Below are 26,338 nucleotides of genomic sequence, written 5' to 3'. Positions count from 1 at the left end.
CATATTTCCATTTTTGCATCCTCTTTAATTTCTCACATCCATTTTTTCAATAAATAAAGTTTTCATTGTAGACTCTTTAACTTCTTTGGTTAAGTTTATTCCTGTGTATTTAATTTTATTCATAGTTATTGTAAATGGGATAACTTTCTTGATTTCTCTTTCAGATTGTTCACTGTCGGCATATAAAAATGCTACTCATTTTTGCATGTTAATTTTTGTATCCTGCAACTTTACTGAATTTGTTTGTCAGTTTTAATAGTTTTCTGGTGGTGTCTTTAGGTTTTTCCAATTATAAGATCATACCATCTGCAAACAAGGATAATTTGTCTTCTCCTTTCCAATTTGGATGTCTTCATTTCTTTATCTTATATGATTGCTCTTGCTAGGACTTTCGGTACTATGTTGAATAATAGTGGTGAAAGTTGGCATCCTTGTCTTGTTCCAGATTTAGATAAAAGGCTTTTAATTTTTCCCCATTCAGTATGATACTAGCCATGGGTCTGCTGTATATGGCTTTCATTGTGTTGAATATGTGCCCTTTATACCCAGTTTTTTGAGGGTTGGTACCATGAAGGGATGTTATATTTTATCACATTCTTTTTCAGCATCAGTTGAGATGAGAATATGGTTTTGTCCCTTATTCTGTCCTTATTTAGGCTGATAATTATTCTGTTGATACGATGTATTTCATTGATTGATTTGCATATATTGAACCATCTTTGCATCCCTGAGACAAATGCCACTTGGCCATGATGAATGATCTTTTTAATGTGCTGTTGAATTCAGTTTGCTAGTATTTTGTTGAGGATTTTTTCATTCATATGCATTAGGGATATTGGCCTTTAGTTCTATTTTTTGAGGCATCTTTGTCTTAGAGTCAATTTTAGACTGATAATAACTTTAATTGCCTACTAAAACCCTACACTTCTTCTTCCTCTCCTCCTTATTTTATGCTATTGACATCACAGTTTTCATCTGTTTATCTTGTGTATCTATTAAAAATTATTTTATATGTACTTATTTTAATACCTTTGTTTTTAACTTCAAAACTATAGTTAAAACTGTTTTATGTACCACAATTACAGTATTAATATAGTCTGAATTTGACTATATATTTTTCTTTTTCAGTGAGTTTTTAATTTTCATATGTTTTCATGCTGTTTCCTAGCACTTTTTTGTTTCAACGGAAAGAAGTCTCTTTAACTTTTCTTGTAAGGCAGGTTAAGTGATGATGAACTCCGTCAACATTTTTTGGGGACTGTCTATCTAACTGTTCTTCATTTCTGAAGGACAGTGTTGCTGGCCATACTATCTTACCTCGCAATTTTTTTCTTTCAGTACTTTGAATATGTCATTTCATTCTGCTCTTGTCTGCAAGGTTTCTGTTGAGAAATCTACTTTCAGTCATATGAAAGTTCCTTTGTATGTGAGAATTCTCCTTTTTTCATGCTGCTTTCAAGATTTTCTCTTTGTCTTTGACTTTTAGCAACTTGATTAAAATGTGTTTTGAAATAATGTTTCTGTGGGTTGATCTTTCTTGGGGATGTATGAACTTTATAAATCTGGATATCCACATTTCTCCTTAGATTGGTAAGTTTTCAGCCATTATTTATTTAAATAAGCTTTCTTCTTCTGAGACTCCCATAATTTTTACATTTATTTGCTTGATGGTGTCCCATAGGTCCTGTATACGTTTCTCACTCTTTTTAATTCTTTTTTCTTTTGGTTCCTCTACATGGCTAATTTCAAATGACTTGTCTTTGAGCTCACTGATTCTTTCTTCCACATGATTGAATTTGCTATTGAAGATCTATTGAATTTTTTCAGTTCTCTCACTGTTTTCTCTGGCTTCAGGATTTCTGGTTTTTTGTTGTTGTTGTTGTTGTTGGTTTGTGTGTGTGTGTGTGTGTGTGTGCGTGCGTTCTATTGCTTTATTAAACTTCTAATTTTGTTTATGCATTGTTTATTGATTTTGTTTAGTTGTCTATCTGTGTTCTCTTGCATCTCATGGAGCTTTAATATAATTAGTTACTAATTCCATTCATGAGGGCTCTGTACTCATAATCTAATCACTTCTCAAAGATACAACATCTTAATACCAACACCTTGGGAGCTGGGTTTCAACATATGAATTTTAGGGGAATAAAAACAATCAGACTATAGCAGTTTCTGTGTATTTCAAGGAACAAACACCTCTTCCAGTCTTTACAGACTGTTTTTTACAGGTAAATGCCTTCTCCTCTTGGGTACCCAAGCTGATGTGGTTTTATCTTGGATCTGAGTCATGTGGAGTTAGAGCCTGGTCATGTGGGTCCACAGTGGGGTCTGTGGTTGGTGGGCCTGTTACCAGGGGCTCCAATGGGTATTGATTCTGTCTGGTACCTGGGTGGACTAGACTGGTTCCAGGACATTGATTATAGGGATGGCTCTGAGACACAAGGGTCTGCTTTAGGGTCCACAGCTAGGTCTGCAGATTATAGGCCTATTACCATTTGCATGAACAGGTGTGGCTCCTACAGGTCTTTTAGAGGGCTTCTCCTGGGTCACTGGGTCATTCCCTGGGCAGGCAGGACTGGCTGTAAACCACCACTATGAAGGGCTGGAACCAAGTCACAGGGCTGCTTCAGGGGCCACAGATGACACAGGTCTTCAGGTCTGCCTCTGATGCCTCTGGGATCATGTAAGGCAGTTGTCCCCAACCTTTTTGGCACCAGAGACAAGTTTCATGGAAGACAATTTTTTCACAAACCTGGGCTGGGAGGGATGGTTTCAGGATGAAACTGTTCTACCTCAGATTATCAGGCATTAGATTTTCATAAGGAGCCTGCAACCTCGATCCCTCACATGTGCAGTTCACAATAGGGTTCACACTTCTATGACAATCTAATGCTGCCACTTATTTGACAGAAGGCAGAACTCAGGTGGTAATGATCTCTCGTCTGCTACTCACTTCCTGCTGTGCGGCCTGGTTTCTAATAGGCCATGGATCAGTATGTGTCCATGACCTGGGAGTGGGGAACCCCTGATTTAGGGCATAACTCTGGTTCCTGGGTTGGCAGGACCACTCCTGGACTGCTACTGAAGGTGGGGGTGGGGGCTGGAGCTGGGTAACAGGGCCACTTCAAACTCCTTAGTAGAACTGAGGTTGATATGGATGGGCATGTCTCCAGGCAAGTCTCTGAGCAGGCAGGACTGCTCCAAGGCCACAGCTGAGAGGGGCTGGAGGCAAGTCACAGGGCCAGTTCAGGATATGCTGTGGGATGGGGGTTGGCACTGGCAGGTCTGGCTCTAGAAGCATGAACAGATGTCTCTCGGTGGTTCACTGGGCAGGCAGGACTGCTCCCAGACCATGGTTGAGGACTGGAGCCAGATGATGAACTGCTTTAGGGTCTACAACCAGGATTGAGGTCAGTGGGCATCCAAGCCACTGTAGCCAACTATTGCCACGTGTGGCACAAGTGGATGTTACTCCTCCCAGATCCCTTAGCAGGTGGTGCTGGTGGTGCAGGATCAAAGCCAACCAGGTCTGTATGTGAGTCTAACAGGGGATGGGGCTGTTTTCAGGACCAGAGTTGGTGAGCCTGACACGTTGGGCATGAGCCTGTAGTTTCAAGATGGCTCTTCTTGGTTTTGGACTCCATCAGCGTTTTGCAACCTCCTACCTGGATCCCAAAGCTCCCACAAGGCACTTTTGTTTGTGGATGAATGCCAAATTATTGTTGCTATGGGGAATACAAGCAGGAGACCACCTATTCTGCCATCTTGCTGATTCACTCTGAATATTTTATAATTTTTTTGTATTATTTACTATCATATAGGGTTAAACCTGAAAGAACCATACAAGATTTTACATTCCCCTTTACTTAGTGAAATTCTGTAACCGTGAATGGCTAATGTTTATGAAAAATCTTCAAGTACATCTGTAATTAACAGATAATTATGTGGTTTATATTATACTGCCAGTTGTTTTTTTGTAATGTCATGAAATCTATAATAAACTATCTTTTCTTTATTGATCATTTTGCTAGGACTAATTCAAATTAAAAACACATATTTTCTTGTTTCAAATGTCTGAAGACTGCAAATAATAAGACTTCTTATTAATACCCTTGTGTCATTTGTACTTTACCAATGTTTTAATATTGGGTTATTTCTTTAGAATTTTTAGATTCTGCATTTAATTCTTCAAATATATCACCTACAGTGAATCTTTATTGTGGAAACATCAAGGATAACTTTGATAGTTACTTTACATATTAGATTATCATTGAATTGAGACGTGAAGGTTGATTAATCAAATTCCTTTGAGGCCAGTCTGAGTCTCATGATTAGATGTACTTAAAGAAGCAAGGAACTAGATAAGGAATTGCAAAAACATTGAAGTTTAGGAGTAGAATTTATTTGGGGAAGTTTGTTCTTTAATGGTATTTCTGCATAGCACAAATGAGTGTGCCATTAATATTTATCACTGGTTTTACTCAATGGGATTAGTGCCACTGGTTGATAATCCCAAAGTTTTATCTGAATATTATGAAGAAAAATAATTTCTTATGATGGAAAGTAGCTTCTATTATAGTCAAAAACCATTTATTTACTTATTTTAAAAACTTGTTATATTAAAGACAATTTTCCATTCAAGAGCAGCAAAGAAAAGGTCAAATTTATTCTCTGGCTTATTTGAATATACTTTTAATCCCCATGTAGATTTTTTTAAAAAGTAAAAATAGCAATTTGGATAACATCAGAGATGATATTTCAGAAAAAAATGCTTATTTAGTGAGACATCACTTAATATTCAGAATTGTATTATAGTTGATTGATTAATAAAGTTCAAATCCAGAAGACAATATCCATCCTCTTACATTATACTCAGTTTATTGACTCAAAAGAATGGAATTGAAACTGATTGAAAAAAGGTTAATACACCTTAATAGATGACGATCTGGGTTAGCTACTTAGTGTTAGAGGCAAGTCTGAGAATCAGTTTCTATGTTTTTATAAAACTGCTGCTTTGACTCCAAAACTATCATTCACATAAATCCTTCCTAACTTGTTTAAAACAGTTTCCTGAATATTGCTTTGATTTTTTTAGCCATTATCATTTATCATCAGAAAATATGCTTAACTTTAAATTTCTCATGATGCAAAGTAAACTCATTTTTTCTTATTTAAAAACTTTCTGAATATTGACAACTGGTATAAACTCAAATACTATTTTTCTTACTTTAATCTAAGTAATATCTGAATATTTTGTGATACTAATCTTGTTTCACATTGCTTTCGCATTGTAGGATCTTGAAATCAATACAGGAAAATTCATAAATAATTTGAAGTGTAAGATATTTCACTCTTCTCTTTTTCTGTCTTTGTAAAATATGTATAAAATGGGTAGTAAATAGCCCTGTATGTAATTTTTATGATAAAATAATGTTACATATAATGCATTTTTGTATAATAACCAGAATATATCCTGATTGACCAGTTTTCTTTTTAATTTTGCTATTTTCTGTTGACAACAGTAAGTCACAGATTTTTATTCATTTCAAAAATATTTCTTTCCTTCCACCAAAATTTTCACTTGGTCCATACTTACTGTTTTTTCACTTTAGCATACACTCTACCTAGAAAGTGTTGCTTTTACTTCATAGAAATTCAGTTTTCTGGTTAATTGCCACAGTAATCTTTACAGAAAACATACCACGACTGGCTCCTCTGATGATTCTTTCATCTCTTCGGCCTCCTCTCACAATCCATGTGTTCAATTTATACTGTGTTAATTTGTACAGTGAATAATGTTGCTTTGTACATGTTTTTTCCTTTAGGTCTTTAAAAGTATATGTATTCCATCTCCCTGACTACATGGCAAACTTTAAATGGGGAAGTCACATATTTATATTAGCTTCTCTATTTCCTTTCTCCCTCCTACTACTTGTTTTGGTACTCTAAGATAGTGGACTTTTTGATGTACTGAAATGTAACTAGGAATTTCTCATTGTAGATCACTGTAGTTCATTATTTTGACAGATTATGAATGTCATTTCCATGTTTGGGATGATAAATGGATTAGATTAAAAACTAAACATAAAAATGAACTAAAACAACTTATAATAAATATAGAAATGCTGTAATATTATTTTCTTGATATTCAATTCTATAAAATACTGCCGATGATGATGATGGTGATGATGATGATGATGATGATGATGATGCTGTTGCCGCTACTGCTGATTTTTAGAGATGAGCTCTCACTCTGACACCCCTCTATTATTTTTGAAAGGAATATATGTTGCAAATACTGTACAGTTTTTCTTGAATTTAAGTATATTGTGTGATTTTCATTTTGTATGTTTAGCATCATTAGTTTTATGACTGAAGAAATAAAAAATGCAGTTTGCAGTGTTGGTTCATTAGAACACACAAGACCCCAACCATAGCTCTTTGCCTTAGTCACAGGCATTTCATCTGGGCAAGGCTGTGAGATGTCTGGCCCAATTTGCAGGTTTGGCAAAACCAAGTGTCCCTTTCCTTGAATCTGCTCAGTTTCATCAGCCTCTTACCAACCTCAGAAAAATTGCCCACTCATTTAAAAAAAGAATTTATGATTGCCACCAGGCAAGTTTTAAATATTTATTTTATTAGCTTTTATAACACTGATTTCCTCTTAAAGGTATTAGTGAATATCCTTACAAACTGTTAAGTCGATTGTAGTCTATCAAACAGTTTGTGGGTACAGTTGGCTCAGGTTTCAGATAAATATTTACTGACATCACCAAACTTAATGTAAGAAAATAATGAATAGTGATTTTATAATTTGACCTAACCAATCTAATAGCAGAGCTACATTGTTTATTACATATGTTATTAAATCACTTTCAATTCATTTAAACAATTTACCAGCACATGTTCTATATAGAAGGATCTATTTGCTTGAAAATATTAATATTTATGATTTAGTATTGATATTTTTAACACCTACATTAAATTGAATCCTGTCAATTCCCTAAATAATAGTATAGAAAATATTGAAAATAATTAAAAACTAAATTTGGAATCAATAAAATTACTTTTATGTATTCATTTTGTTTTATCTGAAATATTAAACATACTTAAAAGAAATATTATTATTTTTATATAATTAAAAGAAAATCATTTTCATTATGATTAAACATATTATACTCTACAGTAAAATTTTTATTTACTTAGCTCATTTGTAGCAAATAGTCAAAAGAGGTATATACTATATGTATCTTAATATATCTATTTTCCTATAAGAAGTATAAGAATAAACAGAAACAGGATAATATATAAAAATTATATTTGTCTTAATTTTAAAATGTCTAATATAGTTCATAGAGTACATTAAATAATTTTAAATTGTTAACAGGTTTTCAAAAGTGAGCACAAGAATGATTTATGTCTCCTATCAATATATGAAATGTATTTGCTTTAAAGGACAATTTATTAAAAATTAAACATAATATATTTCAGATTTACCTTGTATCACAGGATATCAAAAGAAGATAATTTTCAAATAGTTATTTGTATTGAAGAATATTAACAACATTAAAATTACAAATGGCATTTTTGTTGACACATGTCTAAATGGGTCAAGAAATGATTAGATTTCCTACTAATTATGAAAAAAAGAGGTAGATATTAGGTTGTATAGGTAGACTAACTTTCACAGGAACCACTTAAATAGTTTTTCTTAGACTTCAGTGCCCAGTGCTAATGATGGTAAGTTTGTTGCAGATAAAAGGTATTTGTTATTACATTTGAAATAAAGTATTTAAAAATATTATATTCCATGCTCTATTAAAATAAATTATTTTCCATGCAGTGTTCAGGAAATAGAAGTACCTTTGGTCAAATAAATCTTAGAATATAGACAGAGTAAAATTTCCCCATGTAACCAAATACATTTTTTGAAGAGGTAAGTCAAAAGCTTTTCTCTGTTGTCTAAAATCGCCCGAAAGAAAAATTCATTAATGTTGACCGGGTGCATATTCCATTAATTTCCCTTTCTGTCTTCACCTCTTTCCTTGTTGATGAAGCGTTCATTTAGGGAGATGTTGTGTCTTGCACTGTTTATTCATCCTTGATTCTGGATCTAGTAGGGATGAAAGTTGTCCTTAATGTATTCAAATAGAAGCTAAATTCATCTTATTTGCAGGTAAGATGAGAATGGTCTTTGAAATTATAAATATAATTTCAATATAAGATAAAGATGGCTTTCCTGAAGTGACTTCATTTGTACTGTTCAAAATATATTGCTTTACAAAAAATTCAGAAGTGACACAAATGATGAGACTCCAGGAACCATTTGAAACTCTTCTTTCTGATGAATGCTGACTGCCTTTTAATTAGTTAGAAGTGTATCTTCATTCATTATAATAGACATCAATTATTGGTTCATAATGGGTTTTCAGAAAGTATAAAATGTGCCTCAGTAAGTTGACCAATTGAATCAGAAATGTTGTGGAACTCAAGTTAGTATACCATTCTCTTTTTATACCATATTAAGTCAATGTAGTAAACAATTAAAGTAGAACTGCTGATATTAAAAATATAAATTGGAACTAAAAAATTACAATGCAGTAAATATGAAGATAAACAGTTCATGATGTTAGTCCTCCATGTTTTTATAATCTTGGAAAAAACACTTCAGCACACTCCATTAAAATCTTATGATTAATGAAAAAAGGATTACAGCTAGATAACATTGTGAAAGGATTAACTTCTTCACTGATATGCAGAACAAATGAAAACCATTGTTTCTGGTTATGTATTCTACACCAAGACAAACAATAAATGTTTGTTTTATGTATTTATGAAAAATCTCAGAAATGAAGTATTCTATTAAATCCAATAATAACTGCTGGTTAAATATAAAGGAGTCATTAGTCAGTTATTCCCATTGCTTGTTGGTAGTACTATCTTAGTTCTTAAAGCATGAATACGAATTTACTTGCAGCGTTGCACTACATATTAAGAGTTTCTTGGAGAAATCAAGAAACAACTAATATAAACATTTAGCTCTAATTGGTTTTGCAGTTTGTAACAGTTCGGGACAAGGAATGTGAGGGCCAGAAGAGAAAATACAATAACAAATACTATGAATAGAAAGGGAATATTATACACTGTGTGTGTGTGTGTGTGTGTGTGTGTGTGTGTGTGTGAGAGAGAGAGAGAGAGAGCAGGGGAAGGAGAGAGAGAGGGAGGGAGGAAGGGAAAAGGGAGGGAGCAGGAGACAGAAAAAGAGGGAGAGAGAGAGATGCTAGTTTCATTTTATAACCTTGAGGAAATAATTTCATCATTTCACTTAACATTGTCTATTTTGAACACTGCCCAACATGTCTCAGATACTCTACCCTTATACTCCCATCCCCACACTACTTTATGCTTTCTTTATTTTGTATTCTCACATTTTCCTGGTTTTCTAGTACTATTCTTCTGCCCTAAAACTGCCTGATTGTTTATAGGTCTTACAATCTGCCTTCTTAGCCCTTACATTTAGGAAAATGATTTTCTGCTAAGAAAGATTACAGGACTCTTCTAGATTGAGTCGGCAAATTTATCATCTCCAACCTATACTGGAACCTCAATATTGTGAAAATATTTCTGGCTCAACTTCTACTCCTGCTCCTCCCAGAGTATTTAGAAACTTTCATTAAGCTGTTAAAGACTCTTTTTTTAATATGGTACAAAATGGCCATCACAAATTTCACATAAAAGTCAGTAGGAGAGTTGCCACCTTCCTCCACCTTTCTCCTTCCGGTTCATTGTTCATATTACTTTCATAATGATATTTCTGAGATGCAAGTCACTTTACTCACTTGCTTAAAATTTTCATTGTCTCCTTGTGTTCATTATGATAAAAACTACTCCTAAGCATGATCTTTGAAACCTTTGAATGACTTTGGAATCTTTCAGCAACTACTATTGATCACCTCCTCTAGTGTCTAGGCACACTTCTCTGTGCTTGGGACATATCAGTGAACAGTATACGCAAAGATCCCTGCCTTCACGGAGATTATATTCCAGTGGTGGAAGAGATAATAACTGCTAAATATAGTATGTAAGTAAATTATCCAGTATGTTAGAAGATGACACATGCTATAGAATTAAAAAGTTGATCAGCAGTTCAGGGATTGAAGAGGCAGGTTTGGTCTAATAGACTGGTCAAGGTCAGTCTTATTGAGATTTGAGTGCATGTTTACCTCCACATGCACCCCAATTTCCCATCATACCTTACTATTTTCCTTTTCCCAAACATATTTTCTTCTGTCACTTGTTAGCACTGTGGTTTTACATAGAATGTACAGTTTCCATGAAAGCCTTCTCTGCCCAGCCCATTTCTACCTTTTAGTCCACCCTTTGCTGTGACATAATTCCCCCCAAAAAGTTTTCCCTTACTACCCATTTACTCCTGGACAGGTTGGTTGTTCCTCTTCTGTATTACCACAAACTCCTGGTGTTTTTGTAATGATTTATGTATTTTATATTACGTTTTCCTTGGTTATGCTACAGCAACAAAAGAACCCTAAATCTCAGTGGTTTATTTCTCATTCATTATATTTGGGCTGTAGCAACTGCAGGATGATTGTGGCTCTGCTCTGTGTGTGTGTGGTTTTTTTCATTCCAAGAATAACCCATATTGAAACATATCTTTTTCCTGGCAGAAGGAAAAAAGAATAGCAAAACATGTAATGGCTCTTAAAATTTCTGCCCAGGTGTAGCATACATCACTTATGCTCACATTCTATTGGACAAAACAAGTGACATGGTGAAGTCCAAAGTCAATGGAGTGGGAAGGATTCCCACAGGGAATCCTTTCAAGTCATTTGACATGGGATGGGATGGGAGATAGAATGCTCTTATAGGAGGAAACAGAGTAATTAGGAACAACCTAGTCTACCACACTTGTATGTCTTTCACAGTAGACTCTGGGCAACTTGAGTTAAAGTTTTGGGGATTTCATCATCAAGTATATTTCCTGGTACCTAACAGCAGCTTAATAAAAAGCTTTAAAAGTGAAATGAGAAAAAGAAGAAGGGAACTAAGATGTATTTATTTATTTAATTAGAAATGGAGTCTCACTGTGTTGCCACTGGAGTGCAGTGGCAAGGTCTCAGCTCACTGCAACCTCTGCCTCCTGGGTTCAAGTGATTCTCCTGCTTTAGCCTCCCAAATAGCTGGGATTACAGGCGCCTGCTATGACTCCCGGCTAATTTTTTGTATTCTTAGTAGAGATTGGGTTTCACCATGTTGGCAAGGCTGGTCTCAATCTCCTGACCTCGTGAGCCGCCCGCCTTGGCCTCCCAAAGCACTGGGATTACAGGCGTGAACCACCGTGCCCTGCCGGGAACTAAGATTTATTTCATGTCTTGTACCAGACACCACTATGTTTTTTAATCTCCATATTACAAATGAGGCAAATGTGATTCCTAGGTAAAATAACATGAATGACACACAGTTAAGAAGCAGTATGTGCAAAATTTTAACTACAGTCTGTCTTACTTTAAAGCTGTTTTCTACTTCACCATCCTGTCTTTGTAGAAGTATACTATCTACAAATCTTATGTAGTGATTTCTTAATATTAAGGAAAAGAAATAGATATCATAGTACTATCAATGGTGATTATATTTCTGCAACAACTCTTGCATTTGACCTATTCTGATCATACCTCCTACCATTTTTCTATTTCACGCATTTGTTACATCCCATTTAGATTTCCATAATAACCCCTTAATTATTCTCTTTTCTCTCTAGGTTCCATTCTATAAGTAATGTTTCTAAAGTAATGTTACTAAAGCATATCTTTTATCATGCCATTCTTCTATTCAAACGTGTTTTAAGGTTTCTAATTATCTACACTACAAATTTTAGTCTATGTTTTTAACCTACACAGTCTCACCGATCTTTCTCAAATACCTATGCTAAACTATTTAAATCTTTATAATCAGAAAACTAGATTAACTTTGCCAAATACACACTTTGCTTTCTCTGCTTGCTCCATCTGGAATAACCCTTCTTTTGCCTTCAATTAAAGAGATGCACTTCAACTTGTAGACAAATGCTGCTTATTCCATAAACATAGTTCAATCCCCAAGTGATTTCTTCCTCCTCTTTCCATGCACATTGTAACTATAAAATGACAAAAGTTATGGAAGATTATTTAGAGTGGTTGTCAATATGATAATCATCTTCAGATATTTGAAAGGCTGTTAGCTGGAAGAACAATGGATTTTTTTTGTAGTTCTAAAGGGAACAAGAACAAGTATGGATATGTTATGGAAGAATGGATTTCAGCAACTTCAGTATCTGTTTCAAGAAAGTAAATTCTTTCTTCAAAGGAAGTGTTTAAGCAATATCTAGATGCTTCCTGATTGCAGATATTATGGTTTGAACCTTGTTATTCATCTCATAGTAGTTTGTATCTGTGGTGTTTTCCCTACTAGACTTGAGCTCTTTATGAATAAGGACTTCTGTCATGTTTATATTTGTGTCTCAGAGTTCATTAGATTGGATTTGTTATGCAAAAAGTATATGGACACCACACATGACCCCAACCCCATGCGGTGTAAATATAAAATAGATTTTATTGAGAGAAAAACTTGCAGGCAAACAAATAGCAGAGCATGCGTCATTCACCAACCTCTTACAATCCTAATGCAAGTGGGTTTATACTGTTCAAAGTTTGGCTGCATGCACTATACAAAGTGACCCAGCTGAAGGGGCATCAGTGGCAGGATACATCTAGTGAAGCATAAATTCTCTGCTAGAGAAATGGACATTCTAAAAAAGGAGGAGCCTCTGAATCTCAGCCTCTGATATCAATTTATTCTTCCTTTGAACTAAGATCTGCTGAAGCGACTTTTTGCTAAGTTATCAAAAGTGTTAAAAAAGTAGGTCACCATGATATTAAAATCTGTTTATCTTTATACTTGAAATTCCTTTGAATGAAAACAAGTACCACCTAGCAGTGGTACTGAAAGAAAAAGACAGTAAATAGATGCTTATCATTCTTATATTTTTATTTGACAACAGAAAAGAGGGTAGAAAATGAAAAAAAAAAGGACTATTGAGTCCAGTTAGAAATTAATAGTTAATGTCATCAGTAGGAAGTGTTTCAAATCTTTATCAGCTGTAAGAAATAGAAGCCAGTGACTCTGGCTAACTACAAGGAAGGGGAAGTAGTCCAAGAAGAAGGACCATAACAGAATGGGTGAGATGACTTGTAGACTGGGCTTGTGAGGTGCAAAAACTGAGGTAGTAGCAGAGGAATTAAAGGAAGGAAGCTGGGAAAAAACTCTAGGGAGCAGAGCAGACTGGTCAACACAAGCACATGCTACAACAGGAATGAACCTTGAAAGCATTATGCTAAGTGAAAGAAGCCAAACACAAAAGGCTACATATTGTACGATTCCATTTATGTGAAATATTCATCATATGTAAATACATAGTAATAGAAAGTAGACTAGTGGTGCTAGAGGCTGGAGAGAGGGGAAAACAGAGAGTAACTGTTTAATGCGTATCAAGTTTCCTTTTATTATTATTATTATTATTATCATTATTTGTGAGACAAATCTTACTCTGTTGCCAAGGCTGGTTTGCAATGGCACAATTTCAGCAAACTGCAACCTCTGCCTCCCAGGTTCAAGTGATTCTCCTGCCTCAGCCTCTGGAATAGCTGGGATTACATGTATGTACCACCAGGCCTGGCTAACTTTTGTATTTTTAGTAGAAATGGGGTTTCACCATGTTGGCCAGGCTGGTCTTGAACTCCTGACCTCAAGTGATCCACCTGCCTCTCCCAGAGTGCTGGGATTACAGGTGTGAGCCACCACGCCCGGCCCAAGTTTCCTTTTGACATGATGAAATGTCTTAGAGCTAGATAGAGGTGATGGTGGCACAACACTGTGAGTGTACTAAATGTCAATGAGTTGTTCACTTTGAAATGGTTAACGGTTAGTTTTATGTTGACATTATAAAATTTTAGTTCAATTAAAAAAAACAGATTGACTCTGGGAGAAATGAAATTCTAACAATTTATTCGTTTTTCTCTGTACTTGCCTAAGATTAAAACTTTTCAGTTTTCAGGCCAAATTTAGGTCATGTGTCCTCCTTTTTGTGGTATGGGGACATTGAAAGGAAATATCCTCCCCCTTAGACTTCTTAGTGAGAGGTAGGCTTCAGGATTTCATGGGCCTCCAAGAATAGAGAGAAAATGGGAAGGATGTAATTTCCCCAAATAATAATAATTCTATTAGTAATGCATAGTGAATACTGGGCATACAGAAACACCCCTAAAATATCCCTATATAAGGCAAAAAAAAAAATCTGGTGTTTGTAAACAAAGTTGATAAGATGTCTTAAGAATCTTCAAACATATTTACTACGATTTTTAGAGTCTAGCTTTTTCTTAACAATATATGTGGGCCAGGCACGGTGGCTCACGCCTGTAATCCTAGCACTTTGGGAGGCTGAGACAGGTGGATAACTTGAGGTCAGGAGTTCAAGACCAGCCTGGCCAATATGGTGAAACCCTGTCTCTACTAAAAATACAAAAATTAGACAGACACGGTTGTGTGTGCCTTTAGTCTCAGCTACTCGGGAGGCTGAGGCTGGAGAATCGCTTGAACCTGGGAGGTGGAAGTTGTTGTGAGCCGAGATCTGAGATCACACCACTGCAACTGCACTCCAGCCTGGGCGACAGAGTGAGACTCCATCTCTCTCTCTCTCTCTCTCTCTCTCTGTATATGTGTGTGTATATATATATCTGCCTCACCCAGAGTGCTGGGATTACATAGTGCTGTGTATAGATCTCTCTCTCTCTACATATATATATATATATATATATATATATAGTTGTTCTGTATGTAAAACAAGTGCTTTGGAATATTCAAATAGTGAAAATTAAATTCGAATTAAATTTGATTCCCTTTGAATAGCTACTAGAACATATATTGTGCAGAATTCAGATAATAAGTGGAGCTGGCATACAGCCTCTTGTGAAAACAGTATAGGAAAAGGGGCATAACAATTAGTTCATATTTCACAAATCACATTTCTTAGAATTCTTTGAGGAACTGTTTTGATTAAAACGTGGGGATTTAGATTGGTTTTCTTAAGGTGTTTGAGAAGTCTTAAGGGGGATTATTGAGAAAAACTAATGATAAACTGACACTTGATTTTTAGGACACAGAGAGTATAAAGAATTCAGCTTCAGGTTATGTCTGCTTCTATTTCTGTGTCTAATATGAACAGCATGCAGTGATGCTTGTTCTCTGTGACAACTATGAAAGTTGCACCAGAAAAAGTATTTAAATTTTGTACAAAATTGAATATAATCTCATCAATGTGCCTGTTTTATGTGTAAAGGAAATAGCTTGGTTAGTCTGTATTTATTCCAAGGAATTTACCTGAAATGCAGATGACCTGCACTGTACTCATATACTATAGTAATGCATCAGGCAAGTGTTTATCCAAAAGGGAGGAAATTAATATCAACTTTCTAATACACAATATGATTTTTTTTTCTTGGAACACAAGTCAGAAAACATACAGATTTAGACATCAATATAACAGAGTAAAAGAATCACTGGGTATGAATTCCAAATACCACAGTTTGAGTACTGAAGGCTATTGACTACCTTTGCAAACTCAAGCAGGGCATCAGACTTCTCTGTAACTTAGTCATTTGCCTTAAAGTAATGTTGTGGAAAGTAACAGACAAGTGTCATTTGTTATAATAAATTTTCTGGGTTTTTTTAAATTTTATGGAATCTTTCTCAAAAAACATCGATCATGGTTTTAATGCTGTTTGAGATAAAATGAGGGAATAATCGGAGTAGGTTAATGTCATGAATTACCCATTCTACTAAAACGCTTATTCTGCAAATTAATGTTTTTCCATTGGCAAAATTATACATTAGCTACTAGTGTGGGTGAATGTAATCTACCACTAGTAAATTTTGACCGTGAGTTACCCTTGTTATCAAGCTTCACCTCTTACTATCTTTTCACCATACACTTTATACACAGTGAGTTCATTTAACACTGGTTCCTGGTTCTGGTCTATTTATCTTCCATAATGCAATTCACAGTGTTAAAATAAAATGAAAACCAAAAAAACCAACCCAGTGTGAAATCTGTAGGTGACAAGGTACAACAATAGGACAATGGGAATGAAACCAGTAATGTTAAATAAGCACAGATGGAGAGTGGCGAGCAGTGACTTATTCTTTGGGATGGTGAGGAATGAGATGCGAATTGACAGATGTGTGGTAGAAGGGAGGGGAAGATAAAAGGAAGACTAGAGAGACTGTGCTGAAGGTGAGGGATGGGAGGACAACCAGGATCAGTATCCAAGCACAATTGGTTGTACTTAGATTCTATTTTAGATTATGTCAAATAACACTTTTAGCCATGTAGCTATTTGAAACTGGCATTTAATTAGTGAATGACAAGCAAGAAATAACAAGGTGACATGGAAGCACTTAAGAATAAAGCTATCATTAGTTCTTTAGCAGTTTATACTTGTAAAAGTTTTGTATTGTCCTTTATTAAACCTTCACACGATTACTGTGAGAAAGATGGATAACAAGAACTAGCTACTCTCTCTTCCATGTGGACTAAACAAACGGAAATTGAGTAAAAATAGTTGAGTAAAAATGTCTTGGCTAAAAAGCCCATAGCTGTGCTGTAAAGTATTTCCTAAATGAATTGCCCATTTTAGTAAATGGCTATTGAATGTACTGATCTTCATTTTTACAATACATCAGCTTTATGCCAAGGTGATACATTCTAAGACCTAGGGTTTAACCTAGACATAGAAGGCAAAGTCAGCTTTCTACAGTGTATGTTTGGCACTCTCTGGCCCTAAAATTTTCCTTCACATGACTGTCACATTTCTTGAAATTTTCACATTTTTTATTATTTGGGATGAGTCACTGAGGGCCCCCACAATGGAAAATAGTGTCTGCTTTATGCTATACATTAATTTTAGCCATCTATATTTACACAGATAATTTTCAGAATAATTCCTAATCATCTAGAAAAATTTCGAGAGAAAGGAACACAGGGCAGGTCATTTTCAGTGTAGCAGGGAAGTATATCAGGAATCATTTAAGACAAGAGTCACTGGATGGAATTCCCCAGTGGTGGCTTGGGAGCATGAAAATCTCTGGTAAAGGAGTCCAGCCTTTTGAAATGATAAACAGCATATCTAGTAATTGAATTAGCCATTCAACAAATATTTATAGAACCCATATAATGCATCAGGCACTGATCCTTGGTGCTGAGGATAGAGTAGTTAGTAAGACAGACAAAAATCCCAGTCCTCATAGAGCTTAAATTCTATGGGAAAGATAGACAATAAACAATGATAAATGATAAAATGCATATAGTATATTAAATATTGGCATGTGTTAAGGAGAAAAATAATGCGAAGTAGGGGATAAAAAGTGTGTGTGTGTGTGTGTGTGTGTGTGTGTGTGTGTGTGTTTCCCGGAAAGGAGGGTTATCTCATGGGAAAGGCTGAAGGAAACCAGAAAATGAAACATCTGAGGGAAGATCTTTCAAGCAGAGGAAACAGTCAAAGGCATTTGATAATCTCATGATGGTGTAAGGAAATAGAAATTTCAAAATGAATGTTGAAACACTGAAATAACTTCTTTAATAATTTTGCTAATGCCAGTCTTTCCTTGCATCACATCTTCAAATAAGCATACAGACAGCAGTGCTTGCATTATCTCACCACTCACTTTGCTACCCAGGTATCTGGTGCTTTACTAAAAGCACTATTATCTACAGGCACTCTCCTAAAAATCTCATCTCTCTCTTTGGCCCATACCTCTATATCCCTCTATTTATCATTTGACTCTTGGTTTCTCCATGTCTGGAAATGGATTTCTTCGTCAACTTTTGTTACCCTTCCACTCTTTCACCATCAATATCTTTGATTTTCAGGTCCTTTACTTTTTGTGAAAAATCAGTCTATAACTGCCAAGCTGTAATGATTCCCATCACCCTTGCCTTGGATTAGGTCTTCCTCTATCACCTGGATTCAGGCACTATCTTTTCCTTCCCTCACAGCCCATCACTCCTCCCCATTGACTACCACTGTGCTTCATATGCACAGGAGGTGGGGATGTGTGTGGGGTGGAGGTGCCTGATGAGGACACTGTCATTGCCTCTTACTGTATGCTGATACTGCTCTGATGCTTGGCCATCTTCAAACTGAGCAATGGACAGCTCTACTGCAGCACCACTATCAGCTGCTCCAGTTGTCTGCTGAGCTTCTTAAAGTCAAGACAATTCCATTTCCTTCCAGGAGATCTGGAGCCCTTTATCTCAGCTTTGTCAGTATTTCCAGCATGCTACTTGATCCGAGGAATGTTGGGTTAAGGATGGTTCTAGACTGATACCTATCTGGGTACAAACCTCTTGGAGGAAGGTAACTTTTCCTTTTAAAAGTTTCAAATAAATCCCAGCACTTTGGGAGGCCAAGGTGGGCAGATCACGAGATCAGGAGATCGAGACTATCCTGGCTGACACAGTGAGACTCTGTCTCTACTAAAAATACAAAAAATTAGCCAGGTGTGGTGGCACACACCTGTAGTCCCAGCTACTCGGGAGGCTGAGGCAGGAGAATCGCTTGAATCCAGGAGGCGGAGGTTGCAGTGAGCCGAGATTGTGCCACTGCACTCCAGCCTGGGCGACAGAGTGAGACTCCGTCTCAAAAAAAAAAGAAAGTCTCAAATAATTTTTCTGTAGATAATTGGCTGCTTGCCTGCTTTTCTGAGGGAGGCTGCCCTTAAGGACTCCATGATAATTTATCTCTTAAGGGAGGTTCTAGGTAGGAAGACTTGGTCATGAATACAAAAGTATTTTTCTGGCAACACTCTTGTTGAGAAAATGAGAGAACCATCTTTCCTTCCCCAACCCCAACATATAAATTTCATATATGATGAGATACCCAGCCTTACAATAGTAAAAAAAAAAAGTGTTCTAAATTCTTAAGGAGTTTATAACATAGTTGAGAAGAATAGAGTTATACTTACCTTAAAGGGAGGAAAACTGTCTTGCATCCGTTTGGAGTCTCTTCATTCAAGGCTCACCACTATTTGTTGATGATATTGCTGCATAAAGTAACTAAGAGAAGATGATGTATTAAGTCATAGGTTTGCAAAATGTAAAAAAGGCCATTTAAGTGGAGATGTCCAAATAGGAAACAAAAGTAAGTAAGGCAAAGGTGAGCTCTTTGGACCTAAACTGCAGATTAGATTGTCATCTATATAGTGATGACAGAAAAAAAAATATAGATTGGTATTTTAGAAGAAATCAGTTCCAGTTAAACGTTATGTTACATTGTGTTTCAACAAGTAATAATGGTAATAATAAAATATTTTCTTTATTGAGTGATAATTATGTGCTAAAATTTTGTTCCAAAAGCTCCTGGAGTTATCTCACTGAAGCCTTTCAACAATCCTATGGTATAGATGGTGCTATTATTTTTGTTTTACAGATGAGACTCAGAGTAGCTTACTTGTCCAAGATTATACATTATATGGTGGAGCTTAAATTAGAACTTAAGAAGTTGGATTTCAGAATTTGTGCACTGAAGAAGACAAATAGCTGATGGCTATTGCTATTTTTTATATTGCTATATATGGCTGATTTGTTTGCTTATTTTTGAATGTATGTATGTATGTATATGTATAGATGTTTGTTTAGTACTGCCTCTGATCCTTTAACTAATCTTGTCCTTAGTGAGAGGACAGTTATAAGATCCTAGGCTTATAGCACAGAGGCTTAACATTGTTGTCTTCTATTCATGACTCATTCAGGTCTTATACCTAATTTGAGGGACATAGCATTTGCCTGATGAACCACTTCCAGGATCTTATTGCTCCTCAATATTATTTCCATTTTGGTTATTTGGGCGGCATCCCCATTCTGCCTTTGCATGCTGCAAACTATCCCTATTACCAACACTCTATTTTCCTATTTAATTAATTTCCCAACTCTTCAGGTTTACACAAAGCGCAGTTTGAACTTACTCCTTCACCACCTGAGAGAATACAACCAAGATACTTTTCAGGTGGTAACATCTACAGGCCTCGGTGATTGATTGGCTCAGAGGTGAGGAAGAACTGTCTCCAGCGCTACTAACACTTCCTTACTAGCTAAATAGATGGGATATTGGACATTAGCCCACCCCACACTTCTGGTCTGAATGGCTGAATGGATGCCATTCAGAGGTATTAATAATTGAAGGTGGGGACAAAGAAAGCGTTAATAATGAACATAGTCTGTTGACTGGCTAGCTGGTAGTACCATCAACTGAAACAGAAAATGTTGAAGAGAAAAACCTTTGGGGACAGTGTGGTAAATTACAGATATAATTTTGGACATAGTAGTTTTAATTTGCCTTTGAGAATGAAGGTAAATATATAACTCAAGTTTAGGGAAGGGTTAGAGTAAGAAAGAGAGACATGAGAGCTATCTACATGTGATTTTATGTGTCTACAGAGGCATTACCACAGAATGGCTTGGAAGAGACAGAATTTATGTTAATTACCAGCAATATTTATAACTATATCCTAATAAAAATAATATTTTTTCATGTGAAGGACTTATGCTTTGCCATACTTATATAAAGGCTAAATAAAATCCTACAAAATATTGCCATTTTATTGAATATAATATACAATCTAAATAAGAACAGTACACTTGCTCTGCAAATGTAGCTTCCTGACAAGTTTCCTGGCTTAGCCAGATTGCTGCCCTTAACATCTATTTATGTATAATTTTGAAGCCACCTTTCTATGTTCAAAGTATACATGTACTGAACTCTACTTTCGTCAAGACATTGCTGTATACACATTCAAGATGTGTTTAAAGAAAGTCCTACTTTTATTGGCATTAGTGGACAGTATGATAAGTCATGAAGACTATAAGTACAGCCATTGTGATAGTTAATATTGAGTGTCAACTTGATTGGATTGAAGGATGTAAAGTATTGTCCTGGGTGCATCTGTGAGGGTATTGCCAAAGGAGATTAACACTTGAGTCAGTGGACTGAGAGAGGCAGACCCATCCTCAATTTGGGTGGACACCATCTATTCAGTTGCCAGCATGTCTAGAATAAAGCTGGCAGAAGTTGGAAGGATTTGACTGGCTGAGTCTTCCGGCCTTCATCTTTCTCTCGTGCTGGATGCTCCCTGCCCTCGAACATCAGACTCCAAGTTCTTCAGTTTTTGGACTCTTGGACTTACACCAGTTGTTTGCCAGGGGCTACCGGGCCTTCAGCCACAGACTGAAGGCTGCACTGTTGGCTTCCCTGCTTTTGAGATTTTGAGACTCGAACTGGCTTCCTTGCTCCTCAGTTTACAGAAGGCCTATTGTGGGACTTCATCTTGTGATCATGTGAGTCAACACTCCTTAATAAACTTCCCTTCATATGTACATCTATCCTACTAGTCCTGTCCCTCTAGGGAACCCTGAATGATACAGTTGTGATCCCTCTGTGATATGGTTTGGCTCTGTGTCCCCACCCAAATCTCATTGTAATTTCCACATATTGAGTATTGAGGGAGGACCCTGGTGGGAGGTGACTGGATCACAAGGGTGGTTTCACCCATGCTGTTCTCATGATAGTGAGGAAGTTCTCACGAGATCTGATGGTTTTAAAAGTGGCAGTTTCCCCTGTGCTCTCTCTTTCCTGCCACCATGTAAGACATGCCTTGCATCCCCTTCACCTGATGATCTGAGGTGGAACAATTTCATCCCGAAACTATTACCATCTTGTCCCTTGTCCATATATGGAAAAATTGTCTTCCACGGAACTGGTCTCTGGTGCCAAAAAAGTTGCGGACCTCTGGGTTAAAGAAATAAAAAAGATTCCTTACTCTATAAATCATGATTCTATGCTTATATATTTTCAGAATTACATTTTGTGAACTTTTCTTAAAGTGCTATAAAATTTAAGAATAATGAGGAGGTAAATTCTTTCTTATAAACTTAAACATACCTATTGGACAGGCAATTAAGTCTCATTGATCTTCCTAAATATATTTACAATAATCATCTTTGTACCAACATATATCCTATTCTTTATATAATGTTTCAATGAACTTTCCTATAGATATATTTGGTCACCCTTTCTGGCATCTTTCTTCTTCTTCTTCTTTTTTTTTTTTTTTTTTGTCGAGCAATCTCCGCCCACTGCAACTTCCAGCTCCCGGGTTCGCGCCATTCTCCTGCCTCAGCCTCCCGAGTAGCTGGGACTACAGGCACCCGCCACCAAGCCCGACTAATTTTTTTGTATGTTTTAGTAGAGACGGGGTTTCACCGAGTTAGCCAGGATGGTCTCAATCTACTGATCTCGTGATCCAACCGCCTCGGCGTCCCAAAGCGCTGGGATTAGAGGCGTGAGCCACTGCGCCCGGCCTGTCTTTCTTCTTACGAAATGCAAGCAAGTTGCTGTCTGTGCTGCTTCTGCGACCCTGTACAGCTGGATAGATGGGACACTAATACAAGGATTAGTCCTGATTTTGCTAAGAAATGTTTAACTTTCATCATTTGGAAAATTATTTTTAACACTACTTGGTGATGACAACTCCACATTTCTTCTGAAATATGTTTGTCCCACTGAAAGCTAAACATCTTCAATAATAGGCTTGTGTATTGCTTGACAGCAGAGAGTGTAACTTTTCTTTTTGATAACACTTGGCATAATTCCTAGGATGCAATAGGTTCTTTATAGTATTTGTGAACTAATGAAACAGTTTTAACTATTTTGTATTTATTGGGTGTGATCCGTAAGTCTCAGGTTTTCCTGTTGGTGTGGCTGTTTATTATCCAATGATATAAAATATGTCCAGTTTGGAAAGGAACCACTGGTGGTGCATTTTGCAAATGAGCCACTCCTAAAATATTTTAACAAATATTTATTTCTTCCTTCTAGGTTAAACTCAAATGTTATTTCTTCCAGAAAGCATTTTAAAGACAGAATCAATCATTTATGTCTATCTTTCTAGCAAACTGAAAGTGTGATAGAATCTGTACGTTGAACATAATTTACGTGGCTTTCTCTTTTGCCTTTCTGGACTACATTCCATTGAAGAGATCCTTCTAGTTTGATGTAGATTAAGACTTCTTCCTGAAGAAGACTGAAGTAATATTAAGTATTCAAGAACAGAATTTTCAGTAAGTTAATTGGTTTTTCAGTGATTGGGAATTCAGTGTTCAAATTCCATTATATCTATTGTTAGCATAGACTTGGGAGCCTCATCCATAGACTTTTCCATAAGGGTTCTAGATAGAAAGAGGATAGAGAAAAAGCCTGTCCCTTTCCGGTCCTGTAGAAATGTTGCAGGAAAAACAGAGACGGGAGAATGTGATGAACAGATTCATTCTTTCTGTGAGTAAAGATATCACTGAGAGCAGAATGAGATTTTGCCCCTGTCCCCCAACCCTATCCTCATTTGAGACCCTGGGTATGCAGGCCCTCTCATACTTTTCCTTGTATCATCCTGGCTTGGACTCAGCCGTAGCAGCTGAGTGTTAAAATTTTAAAAGCACAGCCTGAAATTTTATATTTCCAATTCACTCTTACCCTTTCCTGTGTATTATAGGCCCCAGGGTAGCTAAGAGTCTGACTGGCAGCTTGCCAAAACTTGGCAGTGTAGTAGAGTGTTTCTGTGCTGGACCACCTAGGCTGGTACTCAGCTTAGTATTTATAGCAATGATATGAGCGAATGTGAAGCTGAACCTGCTAGGGGAATAATACTGGCACATTGTAGAGGCTGAAAGAATGGTTCACAATTTCCTTGCTCAGATTCCAGTGTTGAAGGACCACAGAGCACCCAGAAAACAGGCAATTGGAAACATTAATGGGAGACTGGAGGATCCAGACTTCTTCACTAAAGGAACCTCCCCTATCCCTGTCACCCTTATCCCACACCCACTTGCTGTATTGGAGAAGAACCTGGGAGGTGGTACAAAAGGGTGAGAAATCTGAGAGATTGAAAACAGCTTCCTGGAGTTACTGAATATTACCAAAATATATTTTTTCACTTGTTATTTTGGACTAAGTTTTAAATTGGATTGGACCATGAGTTAATGCTTCTCCCAAGAAACCACAGATGGGGCCTCTTGAAGGAGAGCAGATCAGCTATAGACAAAAATAAAGAAACTGTATATTCTCTAAGAATTACATTTTATAACTCAGCTTTACACTTTAATTGAAGTAAGTTGAAATTTATTCTCCTCAAATGTTTAATTTATGCATCTATTCGTTCTTTTCATATTCTTATGCACCTATCTCTGTATTAGTCTGCTAGGGCTGCCATAATGAAATTATAAGTCTGAGTGGCTTAAACTACAGAAATTTATTATTGTACAGTTATGGAGGCTGAAAGTCCAAGATCAAGGTTCTGGCAGGGTTGGTATCTGGTGAGGCCTCTCTCCTTGGCTTGTAGATGACTATTGCTCATTGTGTCCTCACATGGGCTGTTGTCTGTGTGCACACACTTCTGGTATCTTTTCTGCTTTTTATAAGGACACCAGCCTTATGGGATTAGGGTCCTACTCTTATGAACTCATTTAACCTTAATTATCTCCTTGAAAACCCTATCTCCAAATACACAGTTCATTAAAGGATGGGGCTTCAACATACAAATTTGGATGGGGTGTGGGGGACAATTCAGTCAATAACTCTGTTCATCCCTCATTTTATATTCATACTCTCTAGCATGGTGACTGACACATAGTAGGTGCTTAATCAATGAGGAATATACACAGAGGAAAGTAACATATGTACAAAAGTAGTATGATGTGGCAATTCAAGGCACAGAATTTTGAGACTATGGTTCAAGTTCCAGCTCTACCTGTGATCCAGACCCAGTTTCTATATCTGTAAAGCAGCATAATAATAACTTCTCTCCTATAGAATTGTAAATAGATTAAATGAGCATCTGGTAAATTGTAGATGCTCAATAAATGTTACTTGTGATTATTATTTAGCTGTGCTTCATTTTATCAGCCTATTCTCACTTGCACATCAGTTAAAGCTAACACCTGTATTTTCTGGTAAGCAGGATGCAAGCATCCTAGGTTGTAATCAAGAGCTGCAGACATGGGAATAGAGTGAACATGTCATGGAAATGTCGTCCTGGGCAATTGTTCTCCAGGGATGGTTTCAGTCTGCTTGGAGGCGATATTTTGGCCCTCAGGATGGTAATATTCTTAGTGTTTTCAGGCAAAGTTAGGCTGAATTAATTTTAGAGCTGACCCACTTACATATTTTTTACTTTAGACTACAGCAGCTGAACAGCTAAATTGGACAATTTACAAACTATATTATGGCTTATGTGGGCCAGGCCACTCTTGAAATAGGACCAAGAGGCCTGAGAGTCCAAGTGAGTGGTTGCATGACAGATTCAAAATATCAATTAAATCCTTAACTCTTGGTCTTCTGCTGCAAATTTAGCAATTTGTAGGGGAAGGAAAGAGAACATGCTACATTCTTACTGGGGAATCACAAACAGAAACAGAAAAATCAAATCTAGAATGTCAGAGAATAGTTATTGAATAAAGAGAAATTAAGGCAAATTTCAATTACACTGAACTATATGTACTTGCTAAACTTAGATGTTAAAAAATGTGAACTTATTTGGTAAACTTACAGGCTCTTCAGTTCAGAGTTTAGGCAGGTATAGGACTCTTTCTTTCTGTCTGTCTTTCTTTCTTTCTTTCTTTTTTTTTGGTGTGTTGGGGCTGGGGGGTGGAGTCCCACTCTGTCGCCCAGGCTGGAGTGTGGAGTGCAGTGGCTCAAGCTCAGCTCACTGTAACCTCTGCTTCCCAGGTTCAAGTGATTCTCCTGCCTCAGCCTCCCCAGTACTTGAGATTATAGGCATGTGCTACCATGCCCAGTTAATTTCTCATAGTTTTAGTAGAGACAGGGTTTCACCATGTTGGCCAGGCTGGGCTTGAACTCGTGACCTAAAATGATCCACCCACCTCAGCCTCCCACAGTGCTGGGATTACAGGTGTGAGCCACCATATCCAGCTGATATAGGACTCATTCTTAACCTCCAAACAGTATTTGTAAAATCTTTTACCATTTCCACGATGAATCTTTATGAAAAACTTCTTTGAACTAAAATAATCTCTTTTCTCCAAACTCCCAATTAACACTTTATCTGTACCCTTCATATGTCACTTTTATCATTCAGTGCAATATGGTTTGTTTTGCCTCTTTCATCCTCCTCACTCTGCTGCCTTCCTTGAAGTCAAGAGTTGCAACCAACTTATCTTTGTATCTGT

At 36.6% G+C, this 26,338-nt stretch overlaps 1 annotated feature.

Annotated features, from left to right (window-relative positions):
* Positions 23,805-24,031: a silencer, noted in NCBI's record as "fragment chr7:113608629-113608855 (GRCh37/hg19 assembly coordinates)". NCBI's record gives its function as "represses an EF-1alpha promoter that drives an FKBP-Casp9 reporter gene in an ReSE screen in phorbol 12-myristate 13-acetate-treated (for megakaryocytic differentiation) K562 erythroleukemia cells {active_cell/tissue: K562(+PMA)}" and the evidence as "EXISTENCE:reporter gene assay evidence [ECO:0000049][PMID:32094911]".

Source organism: Homo sapiens, chromosome 7 (assembly GCF_000001405.40).
Source record: "Homo sapiens chromosome 7, GRCh38.p14 Primary Assembly".
Lineage (NCBI taxonomy): Eukaryota > Metazoa > Chordata > Mammalia > Primates > Hominidae > Homo > Homo sapiens.
This window is presented reverse-complemented; position numbering and strand designations above follow the sequence as displayed.